At 49.6% G+C, this 19,067-nt stretch overlaps 1 pseudogene across 1 annotated transcript, besides 1 other annotated feature; it reads right to left on the bottom strand.

Moving 5' to 3' along the window:
- Nucleotides 295-795: an enhancer, noted in NCBI's record as "H3K4me1 hESC enhancer chr19:44204596-44205096 (GRCh37/hg19 assembly coordinates)". NCBI's record gives its function as "activates a minimal SCP1, AML or CMV promoter by ChIP-STARR-seq in primed H9 embryonic stem cells {active_cell/tissue: H9 hESC(primed)}" and the evidence as "EXISTENCE:reporter gene assay evidence [ECO:0000049][PMID:30033119]".
- LOC105372412 (phospholipase A2 inhibitor and Ly6/PLAUR domain-containing protein-like) lies at nucleotides 714-13,850 on the bottom strand (annotated as a pseudogene). The gene is made up of 7 exons (NR_172891.1): nucleotides 13,098-13,850; nucleotides 11,108-11,180; nucleotides 8,820-8,957; nucleotides 6,058-6,189; nucleotides 3,722-3,886; nucleotides 3,307-3,453; nucleotides 714-1,691 (listed from the first exon to the last, which is right to left on the bottom strand). The product of NR_172891.1 is annotated as a phospholipase A2 inhibitor and Ly6/PLAUR domain-containing protein-like (transcript).
- Nucleotides 13,851-19,067: the final 5,217 nt, after the last annotated feature.

Raw genomic sequence — 19,067 nt, 5'->3', positions numbered from 1 at the left:
CTTTCTGTTACTTTCAGTTTTTGTTTTTGAGACGGAGTCTCGCTTTGTTGCCCAGGCTGGAGTGCAGTGACGCAATCTCAGCTCACTGCAACCTCCGCCTCCCAGGTTCAAGTGATTCTCCTGCCTCAGCTTCCTGAGTGACTGGGAACACAGGCACTCGCCACCATGCCCGGCTAAGTTTTTGTATTTTTAGTAGAGACGGGTTTCGTCCTATTGGCCAGGCTGGTCTCAAACTCCTGACCTCAAGTAATCTGCCGGCCTCGGCCTCCCAAAGTGCTGGGATTACAGGCGGGAGCCACTGCGCCTGGCGGGGGCGGTCTCTTTCAAGCCCCCTAGAGCCACGCCGCCTAATCTGTCTGGTGCATGGCCTGGAGTGATTTCTTAGGTAGCCCTCCCTCCCACTGTCATAGCCCCCAGGCACTGGGATTACAGGCGTGAACCACTGCGCTCAGCCACTTTCAGCAGAAAGCAAATGGTTCCTGGCATTCTGCCTGTGGTGAGCAACCCAGTTTCACTTCTCCGCTCAATCCTCTGAGTTCAGTTCCAGATGCAGCATTTGGTCTTATGCCCACCCTGGCCAGACACTGTTGTCGGTTTGTCCCCTCCAGGTTCACCAGTTGAAGTAACTTAACCTCCCCTGGCCTCAGAGGAGAGAGGACCACATCAGGGCCCTCTTTGAGGCTAAAACTTCAGAAAAAGGAAACTCAAACCACTTGGCATTGTGAGATGTGATTCATTCAGATCTGGTTACAGCTGGGAGATTGGGCCCACACAGAAGAGGGGCTCCTCACCCCACCCATGCCCCCTGCCCCGTCTTGGCCCATGGTGGGGGTGGAGGAGGCTGCTCTGAAAACCTTGGAAGAGGGTGTATCGGATCCTCAAGCCCCGCCTTGGCTGCCCAGGATTTTGCTAGACCCCAAACAGGGAGAACAAAAGAGAAGTTGCTTGTCAATGTGTGGGAGAAGAGACACATCCCTGGTGTCTGGGAGCAGCCGGATATTGGGTATCCCCTCGTTTGAAGAAGGAGGCTTAGTAACTTGAGGAAGAAGAACAGCCCTCTTCTGAGGGAGGAGGTTTGGCCTTGGGGAAGGTGCTAATCTGAGGGGGGAGGTATAGCGCCCCGCCCCAACTTAGTTGAGCAGACGCCTGATCTCAGCAGCAGGTGAGTGGCCTTAGTCTGAGCGGGGAAGACACACCCTAGGCTGATGGAGGCATGGCCTTTGGGACCCTGGTGTGAGGAAAGAGGACTTAGCCTTGAGTAAGCCCTGAGTCTGGAGCAGAAGGTCTGGCTTTGGGAAACGCTAGTCTGAGGGAGGAAGCTCATCCCTGCTTCCTGAGTTTCTCACCAGAGGCTTCCAGGTCTCCGCATTGCCCCAGCAGAGGGGAGCCAGGGCACCATCTAGCGACGTGCCGAACAAGCAGGTGGAGGGGGCCTCCCGGGCGGCGGGGTGGTCCAGGCGGGATTCCTTAGCACAGCGTCGCGGTTGCCAGGACTACCACCAGAACCGGGAGGGAGAGGCGGAGGCCGGGCGCGGCGCCCGAGCGGCAGTGGGACTCTAGGACGGCGCGGCGGTGGGGGCTGCAGTGGCTCGACAGCCAGTGTCTTGGGAGCACAGAGAGCCCGTGGGTCCAGTCCAGGGCGCTGCACAGGTCTCGGGAGCCGCAGCCGCGTACGTTCACGTTCCGGCCGCCTGCCGAGACGGAGACAGGGTGCAAGGAGGGGACGTGGGGGCGCGCGCAGGCAGAAGGCCACCCCCGCGCGCACCCAAGCGCACACGCGCGCGCCTTGCACACGCACAGGGCCCGCGAGCCCCTCGAGTCCATGTCCTTCGTGAAAGCTCATCAGGAATGTTCTTTTCTTTGAGCTGGGAGCTGGTCACGGCTGTCTCTCTCTCGTTGTCACTCTTTCTACCTTACACGTATGTTACAGGTGTGTTTTCACTCGTGTGCAATGTTTGTTTCCTTTTTTAAAAACTTTTTTTAAAAAAATGAGACAGAGTCTCGCTCTGTCACCCAGGCTGGAGTGCAGTGGCACAATCACAGCTCACTGCAGCCTCGACCTCCTGGGCTCTGGTGATCCTCCCACCCCAGCCTCCTGAGTAGCTGCGACTGCAGGCCGTAGCACCAGGCCCAGCTAATTATTTTGAAAATTTTTTGTAGAGATAGGGTCTGCCTCTGTTGCCCAGGCTGGTCTCAAACTTCCAGGCTCAAGCGATCCTGGCCTCCTAGAGAGCTGGGATTACAGGTGTGAGCTACCACACCTGGCCCAGAAAATTTTAAATTACACACGTGTCTTACATTACATTTCTTTCAGAAAGCACTGATATAGTTTAGTGGATTATCTTATTCAATTCTCACAACAGTCTTAGGACTTAGCGACTGTTGTTATTCCCGTTTTGTTGTTGTTTTTTCTTTTTTTTTTTTTGAGACGAGGTTATGAAACTTGTCCAAGACTACACTGCAGATAAATTGTGAATCCACACCACAAACCCAGGTCTGTTTGAGTCCAAAGATCTTTTATTTTTTTCAGTTTTTTAATTTTATTTATTTTTTTTTTCTGAGACGGGATCTCGCTTTGTCGCCCAGGCTGGAGTGCAGTGGCGCCATCTCGGCTCACTGCAAGCTCCGCCTCCCGGGTTCACGCCATTCTCCTTCCTCAGCCTCCTGAGTAGCTGGGGCTACAGGCACCTGCCACCACGCCCGGCCAATTTTTTGTATTTTTAGTAGAGATGGGGTTTCACCATGTTAGCCAGGATGGTCTCGATCTCCTGACCTCGTGATCCGCCCGCCTTGGCCTCCCAAAGTGCTGGGATTACAGGTGTGAGCCACCACGTCCGGCCCTCCCCTGTTTTTTAAAGAACTTGTTGCATACCAAGTTATCCCCTTTTACAGATGGAGAAATTGAGGCACAGAGAGGCAAAGTCACCTGGTCAAGGTCACCCAGCTCAGGTGGTGGATTCAGCATTTGAACCCAGGCAGCCTGGCCCTAGAGTCCTGTTCTTATGCCCTTTACTCTGTCACCTCCCTCATGAGTTCACTTTGTCCTCACAACGCCCTTCAAGGTGTGTGTCTACCATCCCCAATTACCAGAAGAGAAAACAGAGGCTCAAAGAGATAAAGTCACTTGCCTTGAGCTACACAGAGTAAAGGGTGGAGGGGAGACTCCAAACTCAAGCACACCAGTATCCAAATCTAACGTGCTAAGGCTCACTCGTGCACACACACATGTGCACACACACACACATGCTGTCCCCATTACCTTCTTCACACACACACACACACACACACATGTGCTGTCCCCATTACCTTCTTCAGACGTTAGGTCCAGCTGGACACACTCAGATTCCCCACTGGGACACTGCATGTAGAAGGAGGAATTGCAGGGCTCCAAGTAGCTCCCAGGACATGTAGGACACAATATCTCACTCAGGGTGTGTGAGGCCAGATGAGCTGCTGTGTAGAAGAGGATGAAGGTCAGTCAGAAGGAATCTCAGGACCTCCCGGGGCCCCGAGTGCACTCCTAGGCTCTACCACATTGTCACGAACTTAATATTGTCATGACCTTGGTGGGATTTCCTCCCAAGCTGGGATCAGGGTGCCTGAGGGCAGCCTGGTTGGGGTTGAGTGATGTTCCTTCCTGCATTCCTTCCTCAACTCTGCCTCCAGAGTCACCCACCACCTCCTTGGCCACCCATCTGACTGCTTTCTGGTGACAGCATACCGAGAGGGGTGGGCTCCTGGTAGTTGCCTTGGCAACAGGTGGTGTTGACGCAGAAGCCAAAGCCAACACCATAGGTCAGGGCATAGATGGAGTTGCCAAATTTGCAGTCCTTGGAGGTCACGCAGAAACCGTTTCTCCAGGAGACAGGGTTACCTTCGCCAAAGCCTGGAGAGAGATGGAGGCCAGGCTAGTGAGGAAAGGCAATCACAACCCACCACCCAACCGAACTCCCCAAATCTCTCTGAGTATTTCCCTGATGGCATTCACTCTGCCTGAGATCTCCCCATAATACATCCAAAGCTGGTCATTGTTCATTAAGACACATTAAGTTCAGGCTTGGGGCAATTGTTCATGCCTGTAATCCCAGCACTTTGGGACAGGAGGATCACTTGAGCCCAGGAGTTCAAGACCAGCCTGGCCAATATAGTGGGACCCCCCGCCTCTACAAAAAATAAAATAAAATTAGCCAGGCATAGTGATGCAGTCCCACCTACTTGGGAGGGTCGCTTGAGCCCAGGAGGTCAAGGCTGCAGTGATCCAAGGTTGTGCCACTGCACTCCACCCTGGGTGACAGAGTGAGACCTTGTCTCAAAACAACAACAACAGTTAAAAATCACATAGTTCAGAAAGCCTTCCATGATCCCCTGCCTTCTCTCCTTAGGGTTTCAATTAATAGGGTGGCTCTGTATCTGTGAGGTCTCCCCACCCTGTCTATGAGCACCTCATGGACTTAGTAAGAAACTTCTCTAAGATCCCAGAAATGTCCAGAACTGGAGCCTGGAACACTATCTTTACTATGTCTCTTTATGCTGTAAAAAGATAGCAAAGAGCCGGTTTCAAGTTCAACTCCTCTTCCCGTTTACAGAAGAGTCCACTTTTCCTTCTATGGGGAGAGAGTGACAGGAGCCTTAAGTGGGGCTGCCTGCCCAGAGTGTTGTAGTAGATACCAAGATGGCCACAACTGTATCTCCCATCCTGCATGCTCTTGTGCAACATAATCTTGCCACTCTCTCATCAAGAGGTGGAATCTGTTACGTCACCCCTTAAATCTGAGCCTGCCTTGGGATTTGCTCTGACCAATAGACTGTGGCAGAAGTGACACTGTGACAGTTCTGGGTCTATCCCTTAGAAGGCCTGGTTGTTCCCACTTCTTCCTTCTCAGAAGCCGGCCACCGTACTATAAGGAAGCTCAAGCTAGGAAACTGACTAGTGAGAGCTCAGAGGAGCGAGGCTCTCCCCAGCTGTCTTAAACATTCCAGGTGCAGTCAAGCTCCCAGCTGAATGCAATCACATAAGTGACCTCAGCCTTTACCACTTAGAGCAGAAGAACTGCCCAGCTGAGCCCAGTCAGCTGCAGAATTGTGAGAAATAACAAATACTTGTCTAATCCAAGAAGCTTTTTTTCAATTGTGATTTTTTTTTTGAAAATCACACTGTATAAAATATACCCTCTTAATGTTTTTTTTAAAAAAATAGAGATGGGGGGAGTCTCACTATGTTGCCCAGGCTGGTCTTGAACTTCTGGCCTCAAGTGATTCTCCTGCCTTGGCCTCCCTAAGTGCTGGGATTACAGGCATAAACCATCATGTGTGGCTTTCTTAACAATTTTTTTTTTTTGAGACGGAGTCTCACTCTGTCACCCAGGCTGGAGTGAAGTGGTGTGATCTTGGCTCACCGCAACCTCTGCCTCCCGGGTTCAAGCAATTCTCCTGCCTCAGCCTCCCAAGTAGCTGGGACTACAGGCGCATACCACCAAGCCCGGCTAATTTTTGTATTTTTAGTAGAGACAAGGTTCAAAGCATGGCCTTGAACTCCTGACCTCAGATGATCCGCTGGCCTTGGCCTCCCAAAGTGCTGGGATTAAAGGCATGAACCACTGCGCCCGGCTGGCCTTCTTAACAATTTTTAAGTGCACAATTCAGTAATGTTAACTATATTCACATTGTTGAGTGTAACAGCTCTCTAGAACTCATTTTGCACAACTGAAACTCTGTACCCATTGAACAACTCCCATTCCCCCGTCCCCCAACCTCTGGCAACCACCATTCTATCTTCTGTTTCAATGATTTTGACTACTCTAGATAACTCAGTGAAATCATACAGTATTTGTCTTTTTATGACTGGTTAAGCCACTAAGTTCTGGCCAGTTTGTTATTCAGCAGTAACTTAAACAACTATGGCAGCAGATTTCAAACTCACACCCTCCACTGCACCCTAGCCTCTGCCCTGCATGTCCAGGAAAAGGCTACAATGGCTGAAGCTAGGCAGCAAAGTGGGAGAGTGAGGATAGGTCTTGCTGTACCCCAAGCCCTATTTCTGTCCCCATGGGCACTCACCTGTGATGCCTGCCATCTGAAGGCAGTAGTGATTATCCTCTGGGCATGGAAGGGGGCCACAGCTGTGGAGGTCTCAGCAGGTGAAGCAGTCGGTGGTCTCAGCTTTGGTGTGGGTCACAGTTGCATGAGGACCTGGGGACAGAGGAAGATGAACTGGATGGAAGACAACCAGTGTGCATGCACGTGCATGGAGCTGAGTTTCCAGGCACATCAGTATGTGCCCATGAGTGCGCAAAAGTGCCTTTTGTGCGCACTTCTGCAAGAATGCCATTTGTGTGTGCAAGTTTGCAGGCCTGTTAAGTCTGTGTGCACATCTGGCTGTGCCTTCCTGTGTTGAATTGTCTGTGTGTTTCTGAAACTGTCTGCAGGAGGTCAGGGATGTGTGTTTTTGTAGCTCTGCAGGACACTGTGTGAGTAGGTGTTTACCTGCGTGTCTGTATAAACAAAGGCGTGTGTTTATGTGTATGTGTATAAGGCTGGTTTTATGGGTATGTGTGTGTTTCTGTGGCTGGGTGTGTCTGTGTTTCCATCAAGGTGTGGGGGTGCTTGTATATATATATATGTTGGTATACAGATGTGAACGTTCATGGATGTTGGTAATGTATTTCAGCTTGCCTGTGTATATTTTGTGCTTTTGTATGTTTGTGGGTGTTTATGCCTGTCTCTTTCCCATGTCATATATATGAAAGCCTGTGTGTCCATGCATAGATATGTTCTGTGTCTGTGTCCACAGGGATCATGTGTGCAAAAATTCCGCGTCCCACATTTCTGTTGTTAGTCTTCCTATTTTGCCCTTTTTCTTTCCATCTTGTAAATTTCGAGCTCCCAAGTCAGCCTTTTTTCTTCATTGTGATAATTAATTAAATCCGCTGCTCAGGGCTGGTCACAGTGACTCACACCTGTAATCCCAGCACTTTGGGGGGCCTAGGCAGGTGGATCACCTGAGGTCAGGAGTTCGAGACCAGCCTGGCCAACATGGCAAAACCCCATCTCTACTAAAAATACAAAAATTCACCAGGCTTGGTGGTGGGTACCTGCAATCCCAGCTACCTGGGAAGCTGAGGCAGGGAAAATCGCTTGAACCCAGGAGGTGGAGGTTGCAGTGAGCCAAGATCGCACCATTGCACTCCAGCCTGGCCGACAGAGAGAGACTCTGTCTCACAAAAAAAAAAAAAAAAAAAAAAAAATCCATTGCTTAGTTTAAAAAAGGAAAACTCCTGGCAGCTGGAGATTTGAAGAAGCTAAGGTGAGAATGTTTCGGCTTTGCCTGCAAATTCAGTAACTACACTCTCCTATCAGCCTTTTTTTTTTTCTGAGACAGAGTCTCTCTCTGTCACCCAGGCTGGAGTGCGGTGGCGCAATCTCGGCTCACTGCAAGCTCCACCTCCCGGGTTCACACCGTTCTCCTGCCTCAGCCTCCTGAGTAGCTGGGACTACAGGTGCCAGCCACCACGCCCAGCTAATTTTTTGTATTTTTAGTAGAGACAGGCTTTTGTCGTATTAGCCAGGATGGTCTCGATCTCCTGACCTCGTGATCCGCCCATCTCGGCCTCCCAAAGTGCTGGGATTACAATCATGAGCCACCGCGCCCGGCCAGTAAACACACTCTCTTTTGCATCACAGAATGGTTCTTCAGCTTTGGCAACGTAGGGAGGACCTCACCTCTAAAAAAAAAATTGAAAAATCAGCTGGGTGTAGCAGTGTGTGCCTGTGGTGCTAGCTGCTCAGGAGGCTGAGGTGGGAAGATTGCATGAGCTTGGAAAGTCAAGGCTGCATTGAACCATGATCGTGCCACTGCACTTCAGCCTGGGTAATAGACGGCGACTCTGTCTCTAAACACACATACACACACACACACACACACACACACACACACACACACACACACACACAGAGAGAGAGAATGGTCCTTTCTGGTGTAGTTTCTGACAAAGTTTCCTCTACATCTCTGGAGCTGAGGGAATGCAGCTGTATCCAGAGAAAATTGCCTTTCTCACCTCTAAAACGTCTATCCCTCTGTTCAGTTGGTTGAATTGCTTAATAAACTGTGGCCCCAGTAAATACTATTTCAATTAGCATATCACTTTTGCGGAAGACAAAACTTCTTGTGACTGTTCTTTGTTAAGCCAAAAGAAGACTATTGGCAAATCTGTCTTCTTTCACAAGCAAGGAAGTGAAGAAAAGAGGGAAAACACCATCAGATTTATCTTTTCTTTTCTTCCTTTTTTTTTTTTTGAGAAGGGGTCTTGCCCTATCACCCAGGCTGGAGTATAGTGACACAATCTCAGCTCACTGCGACCTCCGCCTCCCGGGCTCAAGCCATCCTCCCACCTCAGCCTTCCAAGTAGGTGGGACCACAGGTGCATGCCACCATGCCTGGCTTTGTTTTGTTGTTGTTGTTGTTTTGTTGAGATGGTGTTTTGCCATGCTGCCCAGGCTCAGATCCATTTAAAGAGAACGTGGATCTTTAACCTCACTCACATAATATGTTCAGAGTATGTTCATGTTTAGAAATTTGTGTGCCTCTGCATATTTGTTTTGGGTGCTAGGATGTAAATGTGGATGTTTGTGGATATGTGCCAATAGATGTTCTGCTTCTGAGTGTGTCAGGTGGTGTGTGTGTGTGTATGGGTAACTGTACTCATTGGGAGCATTATCGTAGGAAATGTGGACACCCTGGGAACACATAGGTTTGAAAAGAGCATAGGGGATCCAGGGAGGTAAGAAAGGTTGGGTTTTTAGGAAGGCAGGGGTCAAAGCACCTGGATGTGTAGGAGTAAGGCAGTTGCATTCAGGCTTAGCGGTGAGATGAAATCCAGAGTCTTCTGGACCCAGGGTGGCATTCTCATGTAAGTTGCAGACCTCTGGTGTAGCACAGCCCTTCAGAATTTGGGGACCCCCTGTGGAAATGAGATGAGATTGCAACAAGAGGCTCAGAGTCCAAGCCTTCCAACTTGATGTCTATCTTTCGCTATCTGAAAGTTGCCATCTTAGTAGTTCTATATGATTCAGTTTCAAATCTACCTGGTCAGTTTTTACAACCTCTTGTTGCCTGCTCACATTTGTGATTCTAAGTTTATTCCTTCAGACATATCACGTGCCGGTACGCTATGTTCTACAGCTGATAATTACAATAGCTGAGCTCCTCACAGGTCTGTATCTGTGATTTGTTATTTCTGCTATCACTCATGGTGGCTTGTTTCCTTGTGCGTTTCATGAACTATGATTGTGAGCTCATATTTGGTTGATATTCATCTGTGGGAATCCTGGGAGCTTTTCCCTGGGAAGGAATTGCTTTTGATTCTACTGAGTGCCAGGAGGTGCTACTGACCAGGGATCATTTTGGCTTCTGTCCGAGGTCCCTTGCTTATGTGGGAATCTAAATTCCAGAAGCATGCTGCCAGCCCAAGACCTGTTTACCTAAAGCAGGTTATTATCAGCATTTGCTCCCAGGCCACCATGCCTTCCATGTTTTCTCACTGCTCCCATTATGATTTCTGTTCACATTTTTGTTTTGCTTAGGGACACGTGGACATTTTCTTAACTTTCTGCAACCCCAAAAAGTGTGGAAAAATATTTCTGTACAGGATCTTGTTTATCTGTAAACAGTGGCATACCAAGCAGGGGAAGGGAGTGGGAGCAGTCCAGCCTGGGAACAGGCTACAAGGGGCTTAGTGTCTATAGAGAATTTTTTTTTTTTGAGACAGAGTCTCACTCTGTCACCCAGGCTGGAGTGCAGTGGCACAATCTCGGCTCACTCCTACCTGAGCCTCCCAAGTAGCTGAGATTACAGGTGTGTGCCACCATACTCAGGTAATTTTTGTATTTTTAACAGAGATGGGGTTTCACCATGTTGGCCAGGCTGGTCTCGAACTCCTGTGCTCAAGTGATCCACCCGCCTCAGTTTCCCAAAGTGCTGGGATCACAGGCATGAACCACCGTGCCCAGCCTATAGAGAATTTTTTTAAATCATAAAACCAACTAAAAATCAGTTTGCTTTTTATTATCACCAGGTAGTACCAGCAATTCTAAGCAATGTCAGTGATAAACTGCTCCTCCCAACCATGATGGGCCACTTCCTCTATTTCACTGTCTCAGTCCTCCACCTTCCCAGTGTGCCACTGTTTGGAGCAGAAGACCTTTTAGAGGATTGAGTCCACCATACTGCCAAAAGCAGAAGCCCAGGCTACTGCTCTCGATCCTTTGATTGGCTTCATAATTAGTCTATCCTCTGGCTACTGTGGTTATATTATAAATCTTTTGCTGAAAAGGCCTCTCCTCCAACTGTTTGCAAATCATACTGGTGATTTAAAAATACCTTTGCAAATCTATGACACATCAACAGGTGGGGTCCATGCCTCTTTCATCTTGAAACCAGATGGAACTTTTGTGACCATTTTGATCAATAAAGCAGAATAGAAGTTACATTATGTGACTTCCAAGGCTGAGACATAAAGACCAAGCAGCTGTAACTTTGTTTGCTGAATGAAATCGTTAGCCACCATGTAAAGAGCCTTGAGGTAGCCATGATGGGAGGAAGCTCAATCTAACCGATGTGGAGAGGCCACATAGAAAGGCCTGTGCTTACATATATGCAAGAGATGCTCAGAAAGCCCCTGGTTGTTCCTGCCCCAGCAGTTCCAGCTCTTAACACCCTCTGACTACAACATACGAGAGACTCAGAACTCTCCAGAGGAGCTCTTCCTGAATTCCCAAACCAAAGAAACTGGAAGAGATCATTAAATGATTGTCATTTTTAGCCACCCACCTTGTGAGTGATTTGGGGTTTTTTTGTTTTTGTTTTTGTTTTCGAGATGGGAACTTGCTATGTAGCCCAGGTTGGTCTTGAACTCCTGGGCTCAAGTAATCCTCCCACCTTAGCCCCCCAAAGTACTGGGATTACAGGTGTGAGCCACTGCTCCTGGCCTGTGGGTGATTTGTTAAATGGCAATACATAACCAGGACGCACGTGCAAATGAAGCTCAAGCCTTATTTGTGCAGGTGGGAAGAAACCTGCCACAAAAATCACCTCCTGTGAAGGGGCCCTTACCTCTACTCCAGGTCCCGTGGAGGGTGACACATGCAGTCTGTTTCCCAGTGCAGTTCATGGAGCCGACTTATTCCTGGAACAGTAGTGACATTTCACAGTGTTGGGCTTGGCCTTGGGCCCTGCCTCTGGTGGGAGTGGACAAAGTCAGGGCGGGGTGGGGGCTGAGGAACACCCCTACAGCCATCCTTCCTCACTAGGCCTCTGTTCTCCTGCCCTCCCTCTCTCACTGCCTCTACTCCCACAATCCAGATCATTTCCCTCCAAAGTGATTCTGCGCCTGGCCCCAGAATAAGTTTTCAGGGGCTGCAAGGAGTGTTTGAGACCGAGGCTGGGCACAATGGCTTATGCCTATAATCCCAGCACTTTGGGAGGCCGAGGCAGGTGGAAGACTTGAGCCCAGGAGTTCCAGACCAGCCTGGGCAACATGGCGAAACTCCATCTCTACAAAATGCAAAAAAAATTAGCCAGTCATGGTGGCACATGTCTGTAGCCATGGTACTCAGGAGGCTGAGGTGTGAGGATTGCTCAAGCCCAGGAGGTGAAGGTTGCAGTGAGCCAAGATTGTACCACTGCACTCCAGCCTGGGCGACAGAGCAAGACTGTCTAAAAAAAAAATTAATGCAGTTATAATCATACCTGACATTTTATATACTGAATAGCATGCCCACCTCGTAACTTGAACCTGGGGGTTTTATTTTGCTGAGAGACACAATTTAGGAGGGCAATTAGACACAAATTAGGAGGAGGGAAATCGCACTTGTTTGAAAGGATGGCTACCTCTCCCCATTGCTACATCTGCCAAGTACAAATTCCTTCTTAGAAGAAATAACCAAGCAACGAAAAGTGATCTTTGTCACCACCCAGGGCCAGATCTAGGGTGAAACCAGGGGCCCAAAATTTAAGGAGGCACGACTTTTCAGGGTTGTGCAAGTAGAGGGCTATCCCCTCAGCGTGAGCATCTCCTTAAATTTTGCACCCTGGGGCTGTGCATGAGGGCTCACACTTGTAATCCCAGAACTTTGGGAGGCCAAAGTGGGTGTATTGCTTGAGGCCAGGAGTTGGAGACCAGCCTGGTCAACGTGGGGAAACCCCATATCTGCTAAAAATACAAAAAAAATCAGCCTGGTGTGGTAGCATGTGCTTGTAATCCCAGCTACTCAGGTGGCTGAGGGAGGAGAATTGCTTGAACCCAGGAGGCAGAGGTTGTAGCGAGCCAAGATCGCACCACTGCACTCCAGCCTGGGTGACAGAGTGAGACTCTGTCAAAAAAAATAAAAATAAAAAATAAAGAATAAACATTTTTGCATCCTGGGCTCCTGGCTGGGCTCCCCTAGACCTGGGCCTATCACCACTTGTGAGGTTTCTTGTTCTGTTTGACTAGCCTTCAAGGGGAGCCCCTCTATTAAAGACAAAAAGAGAGGCGGGGCACAGAGATTCATGCCTGTAATCCCAGCACTTTGAGAGGCCCAGGCGGGCAGGTCACTGAAGGTCAAGAGTTTGAGACCAGACTGGCCAGCATGGCGAAACCCTGACTCTACTAAAAATACAAAAATTAGCCGGACGTGGTTGTGTACATCTGTAATCCCAGCTACTCGTGAGGCTGAGCCACGAGAATCGTTTGAACCAGGAGGTGGAGGTTGCAGTAGGCCAAGATTGCGCCATTGTACTCCAGCCTGGGCAACAGAGTGAGACTCTGTCTCAAAAAGAGAGAGAGAGAGAGAGAGAGACAGAGAAACAGAAAAGAGCTTGGAGTTCTCTTTAGCCTCCCAGTATTCAAATAAACATGGCAACAAAAGGAGTGTCTACCACGTGCCAGCCTAGGGGATGAACACCCTTTAAAACCTACATCACACCCATTTTCCAGATGAGAAAACTGAGAGTCTCCTTCTTGCCCCAATCAGCCAGACAAAAAGCTGTGAGGCAGGAAATTGAGGCTGGGTCCCCATGACACCCTACCCTGGTGTGTGAGCCTGAGGTCCTCCCAACAAACCTTACTGGGGAAGGTGGCTGCAGTTGTTTTCACAAGAGGCTGTGCTGACCCAGAGGCTTGCATGGGGGCTGTAGGTCAGGGCGTAGACACCTTCTTAGCATTCTCCAGGGGCCACACATGACCCCTTCTCAATGAGAGTCCCATTTTCTAGGGATAGAGTTTGAGGAAGGGAGATTAGGGCCCCTGCTTTCCAAGCCCTCCAGGACCTCTGCCCACTCTATAGCCATCCCCCTGGCCAATCCAGGGCCTCTTTTGCTGTTCAGCTGCCCTCTGCCCTTTACCCCAGTAGCACCAGGCTGAGCTATGAGGCAGGGCTGGCAATCTCCAGTCCCAGGATGGCTCATCCATGCCCCCCTTCCACCCACTGCCTTTGTCCATTCTCTCCACCCAGCCCCTGTCCAGTCCCCAGCCCGGTCCCCCACCCAGCTGCATCTGGCTAAACAAGCAGAAGTCCTGGGCAGAAGGACAAGTTATTTCAATGCAGGTTCACAGCAAAGAGCAGGCTGGACATGTCTTAGAGCTTCCTGCAAGGAAGAAAACAGTGATCAGACTCTGCAGTTTGAGAAGGACAAAGAACACACACACACACACACACACACACACACACACACGATTCAAGAATAGGACTAATCAGGCATGGTGGCTCATGCCTGTAATCCCAGCTATTTAGGAAGCTGAGGATGACTTGAGCCCAAAAGTTCAGGCTGCAGTGAGCTAAGATTGCACGACTGCACTCCAGCCTGGGCAACAGAGTGAGATCCTGTCTCAAAAAAAAAAAAAAAAAAAAAGAATAGGACTAAGGGCTGAGGTGGGAGGGCCATTGGGAGATCAGCAACCTTCTTTGTTGTGAGGAGTGCGAATGGCATTCCAAGTCGATGAAACAACGCAGACAAAGGTTTGGAGATGAGAATCACAGAATCTCTAAGTGGGAGCTGCTGGGTTTAGGGTTTCAATTCAAGATCGCACAGTGAGGTCCTGGCTAGGATCCAAACCACTTAATTCCCAACTCAGGCAAAGGTGGCAGAATTAGAGCCAAAGGGGAGACAGGCAGGTGAGGTAAAAGAGTAACAGTAACTGCTCCTGGATAATCCAGCAGAGCTCACCCTCAAACAGAGCCACTGCCAGGCTGGCACTGTTCTGAGCTCCTCAAACGTGTGGATTCAACCAATGTCTCAACAACTGTCTGAGGCAGGGGCATTGTCACCACTTCACACATGGAAAAAATGAGGCACAGAGAGGTTATGTGGTTTGTCTGGAGTCACACGGCTAAGAAGTGACAGAGTCAGGATTTGAACCCAGGCAGCCTGGTTCCAGAACTAGGTTCTCAGCTGCCCTGTTCTTCTGCCTGCTAGACAATGAGCCCAGTTGGAAGGACCTGGGGCCCAGACTCTGAAGCCAGACTCCCAACACCACATGTGACCTTGAGCCGACCCTCTCCCTTTCTGATGGACCATGACGCGCTTACCTGCTGGGGCAGCCAGTGCTCCCAGGAGCAACAGGGCAGAGAGAGCCAGAGCATGATCCAGGCAGGAGAGAAGGAAGCAGGACACAGGTGCCCTTGCCTTTTATTCAAGGGCCTTGGCCAGGGTAGCAGCCCCGGAAGAGGGAGAGCAAATAGGCCGGGAAGATAGCGGTGCCACCCACCATCCTGGCCACTGGGACACCCAGCAAGAGAGGGGACTGAGAGAGCATCGAGATGGGGAAACTAAGTCCTGAGAGGCATGTGGGGAAAGCCTGGGACTACTCAGTGAGGCCAGAGAAGGACAGGGGGACATGTTGTTATTATTATTATTACTATTAATAGGTTGTGGCCAGGTGCAGGGGCTCGTACCTGTAATCCCAGCACTTTGTGAGGCCAAGGTGGGAGGATCGCTTGAGCCTAGGAGTTAAAGACCAGCCTGAACAACATAGTGAGACCCAGCGTCTTAAAAAAATTTAAAAATTAGACAGGTGGGCCAGTCGCCGTGGCTCATACCTGGAATCTTAGCACTTCGGGAGGCCAAGATGGGCAGATCACTTGAGGCCAGGAGTTCGAGACCAGCCTGGCCAACATGGTGAGACCCTGTCTCTACTAAAAAAAAAAAAAAAAAAAAAAAAATTAGCCGGGCGTGGTGGCACGCACGCCTGTAATCCCAGCTACTCGGGAGGCTGAGGCAGGAGAATCACTTGAACCTGGGAGGCGGAGGTTGCAGTGAGCCGACATCACACCACTGCACTCCAGCCTGGGCAACAGAGCGAGACTCTGTCTCCAAAAAAAAAGGCATTTGAAGCCCCAAATCTTTCTCTCTCAGGCCTTATCTACTGGTTCTTAACCCTTCTCTTTCTTTCTTTTCTGATGTCTTTCCCCACTAACACCCCTTTCCTTTCTGCTTCACAACCTCAACCTATAAAAACTTATCCCCTTAAGACCAGGCTGTCTAACGACACTGAGGTCCTCAGATTTCTTATGTCTCTGGAACTAAAGCTGAACTCTGTGCTATATCCAAGGCATTTCCTGAGGTTACTGAAGAGCCCCATCATTTTGCCGATAAATCTAACTTCACAGTTCAGGCTTACCCATCCAGCTTCTCTGATCTTTACCAACTTGTTTTGCACCCTTGCGGGAGAAGGCCAGGCCCAACACTGGATGGCAAAAGCCAATTAGGGCCTGGCGCGGTGGCTCACGACTGTAATCCCAGCACATTGGGAAGCCGAGGCAGGCAGATCACAAGGTCAAGAGATCAAGACCATCCTGGCCAACACGGTGAAACCCTGTCTCTACTAAAAATACAAAAAATTAGCTGGGCGTGGTGGTGCATGCCTGTAGTCCCAGCTACTCGGGAGGCTGAGGCAGGAGAATAGAATTGCTAGAACCCGGGAGGCGGAGGTTTCAGTGAGCCGGGATCACACCACTGCACTCCAGCCCAGTGACAGAGCAAGACTCCGTCTCAAAAAAAAAAAAAAAGTTAGCCTGGTGTGGTGGCACATGCCTATAATCCCAGCTACTCAGGAGGCTGAGGCACAAGGATCTCTTTAACCTGGGAGGCAGAGGTTGCAGTGAGCCAAGATTACACCACTGCACTCCAGCCTGGGCGACAGAGTGGGACTGTGTCTCAAAATAAAAAATAAAAATAAAAATAAAAATTAGCCAGGCGTGGTGGTGCACACCTACAGTCCCAGCTACTAGGGAGGCTGAGGTGGGAGAATCGCCTGAGCCCAGGAATTCAAGGTTGCAGTGAGCTATGATGTCACCACTGCACTCCAGCTTTGGTGACAGTGAGACTCTCCTCTAAAAAAGAAATAATAATAATAATATAAAATAATAATGGGTTGCCTCATCACTCATTACACACATTAGCTCACTAAATCCTTACAGTAGTCCTACCAGCCATTATCATTAACCCCACCCACGGAGGATACTCAAAATATTTGACCACCTGTCAATACAGGCCAGGGTATTGGTAGTAACAATCCTGCCCACTTGCTAGAGTAGCAGCCTGTTGGCCTCCAGGGACCCGGTCTTTCCCTCATCTTTCTAGAATATGAAGATGTCTGGGAGGACCCAGAGATGCCATCAGGGCACTCAAGGCCTCCAGGCAGGGGAATTTTATCAACCAAATCTGGACATACCTCAATATTTTAACAACCAGTACAACTGAAATCAGCCCTGGGGTTCCCTCTTTTACAAAAAAGGGAACCAGGGCTCACAGCAGTCAAGGCCTTGTCCAGGGGCACATAATAAGAAAATCAGCACAACCAGGATTTGAACCCAAATGTCTCTGGCTTGAGCACAGGGCTGCACCAAAAGGGAAATTGATCTGCCCTCTCTGGATGAGACCCGTGTCATTCTCCTCCTGCTCCTCCCTGGGCCACCTTGATTTTCACACTTGTTCAGTGGGAATAAGATCAATTTCAACCACCCCATGAGGGGCCTTCCAGCCTGGTGCCTGGCAAGTCCACCCTTCATGGGCTTTGACACCCCACCTGCTCCTCCTATGAGGTGTAACTCTGGGGATGTCCCTTCCCCTATTTCAGGCCTCAGTGTGTTTATCTGCTAAATGGGTGTAGCCCAGGGCCTGGATTGCTGTAAGTGCCCTCCTTTTTTTTTTTGAGATGGATTCTCACTCTGATGCCCACGGTGGAGTGCAGTGGCAGGATCTCAGTTCACTGCAACCTCCACCTCCCAGGTTCAAGTGATTCTCCTGCCTCAGCCTCCCAAGTAGCTAGGACTACAGGTGCCCGCCACCATGCCCAGCTAATTTTTTGTATTTTTTTAGTAGAGACAGGGTTTCACCATGTTGGTGGCGGTCTCGAACTCCTGACCTCAAGTGATCCACCCGCCTCGGCCTCCCAAAGTGCTTGGGATTACAGGCTTGAGCCATGGCACCCAGCCTGCCTCTTTACTAATGCTAATGGTGGCTCTGTTAGGATTGGAGGTATTTGTAGTAGTGAGCTTTAAGAAAACCACACACCCGTCCAGAGGGGTGATGAACGCTTTAGAACCAGACAACCCGAGTTCAAATTCCAGTTCTGCCACTTCCAAGTTAAGTGGCCTTGGGCAAGACATTTTACCTACTGGGCCTCAGTTTCCTCATTTGTAAAACAGGGCAACTAGGAGGACCTCCATCGAAGGGCTGCTGTGAGGATTGAGTTGATTTATGTAGAGCACTTAGAACAGTGGGCAGTAACTGCTGTGTCATTGTCGTTGTCATCATCATCATCATCGTTATTTAGCAATATAAATAAGGCTGCTAAGGGGACAAGTTGAGGTTGACCTCCCCTCTTGGCTCAGAGGAGAGATCTCAAGCGAGAGAAAGGACGAGTTCAAGGTCACCCACAGGCCTGCCAGGCTTCCCAGAATCCCAGGTGGGGCCCCTCAATCAGTGTGTACAATCAAGGAGGTGACTCTGGAAGGTGCCAACCCTAAGGAGGAAAGATAGCAGCCTGGGGATGGGAGATGGCTTTTCTCAATGGGGTGCTAGGGCAGGGAGAAGTCTGGGGACTTGGCTCACATCCTTCCCAGGTAAACCAAGAACCCTTTGGTGCAGGAGAGGTGAGAAGATGGGACAGAGAGTCCCTCAGCCAAGTCTGGAGTTTGGGGAGGAGGGAGCAGCGCCTGACACTTCATGACTAGAGGAAGCCAGTCTCTCTAGATGTTATCGTCACCGATAACTCGGGCTGGGTGACAGGCCAGGAGCTGCACAAACACGAGGCTTGTGGACTGAAGAATGAAGAGCAGGCATGCAGGGAAGGGACATTTCCCTGCACTTCACTTGAAATGTGGTGGCAGGGGGGCATCAGACAAGTTGTTTTGTATTTTATTTTTTATTTTGAGACAGAGTTTAGCTCTGTCACCCAGGCTGGAGTGCAGTGGCACAATCTCAGTTCACTGCAGCCTCAACTTCCCATGCTCAAGCAATCCTCCCACCTCAGCCTCCTGAGTAGCTGGGACTACAAGCACGCACCACTACACCCAGCTATTTTTTTTTTTTTTGTAGGGACAGAGTCTTCCTGTGTTGCCTAAGCTGGTCTCAAACTCATGGGCTCAAGCAATCCTCCCACCTTGGCCTCCCAAAGTGTTAGGATTACAGGCATGAGCCAGCACACCCAGCCCAGACAAGTTATTTAATGCATATACTCTACAAGCAAATATAGACACATGCCCTTCTCCTTTTTCTTTTCTTTTCTTTTTCTTTTCATTATTATTATTATTATTATTATTATTATTATTATTATTTTGAGACAGACTCTCGCTCTGTTGCCCAGGCTGGAGTGCAGTGGCGTGATCTCAGCTCACTGCAACCTCCGCCTCCCAGGTTCAAGCGTTTCTCCTGCCTCAGCCTCCCGAGTAGCAGGGATTACAGGCACCCACCACCATGCCTGGCTAATTCTTGTATTTTCAGTAGAGACAGGGTTTTGTCATATTGGCCAGGGCAGGCCTCTCTCCTTTAATGCACAGTGGGGTATTCCCTGCACTGTTCTGCCCCTAGA

This window comes from Homo sapiens, chromosome 19 (assembly GCF_000001405.40).
Source record: "Homo sapiens chromosome 19, GRCh38.p14 Primary Assembly".
In the NCBI taxonomy this organism is placed as follows: domain Eukaryota; kingdom Metazoa; phylum Chordata; class Mammalia; order Primates; family Hominidae; genus Homo; species Homo sapiens.
The sequence above is the reverse complement of the archived record's forward strand: the minus strand, read 5'-3'. Positions and strand labels throughout refer to the sequence as shown.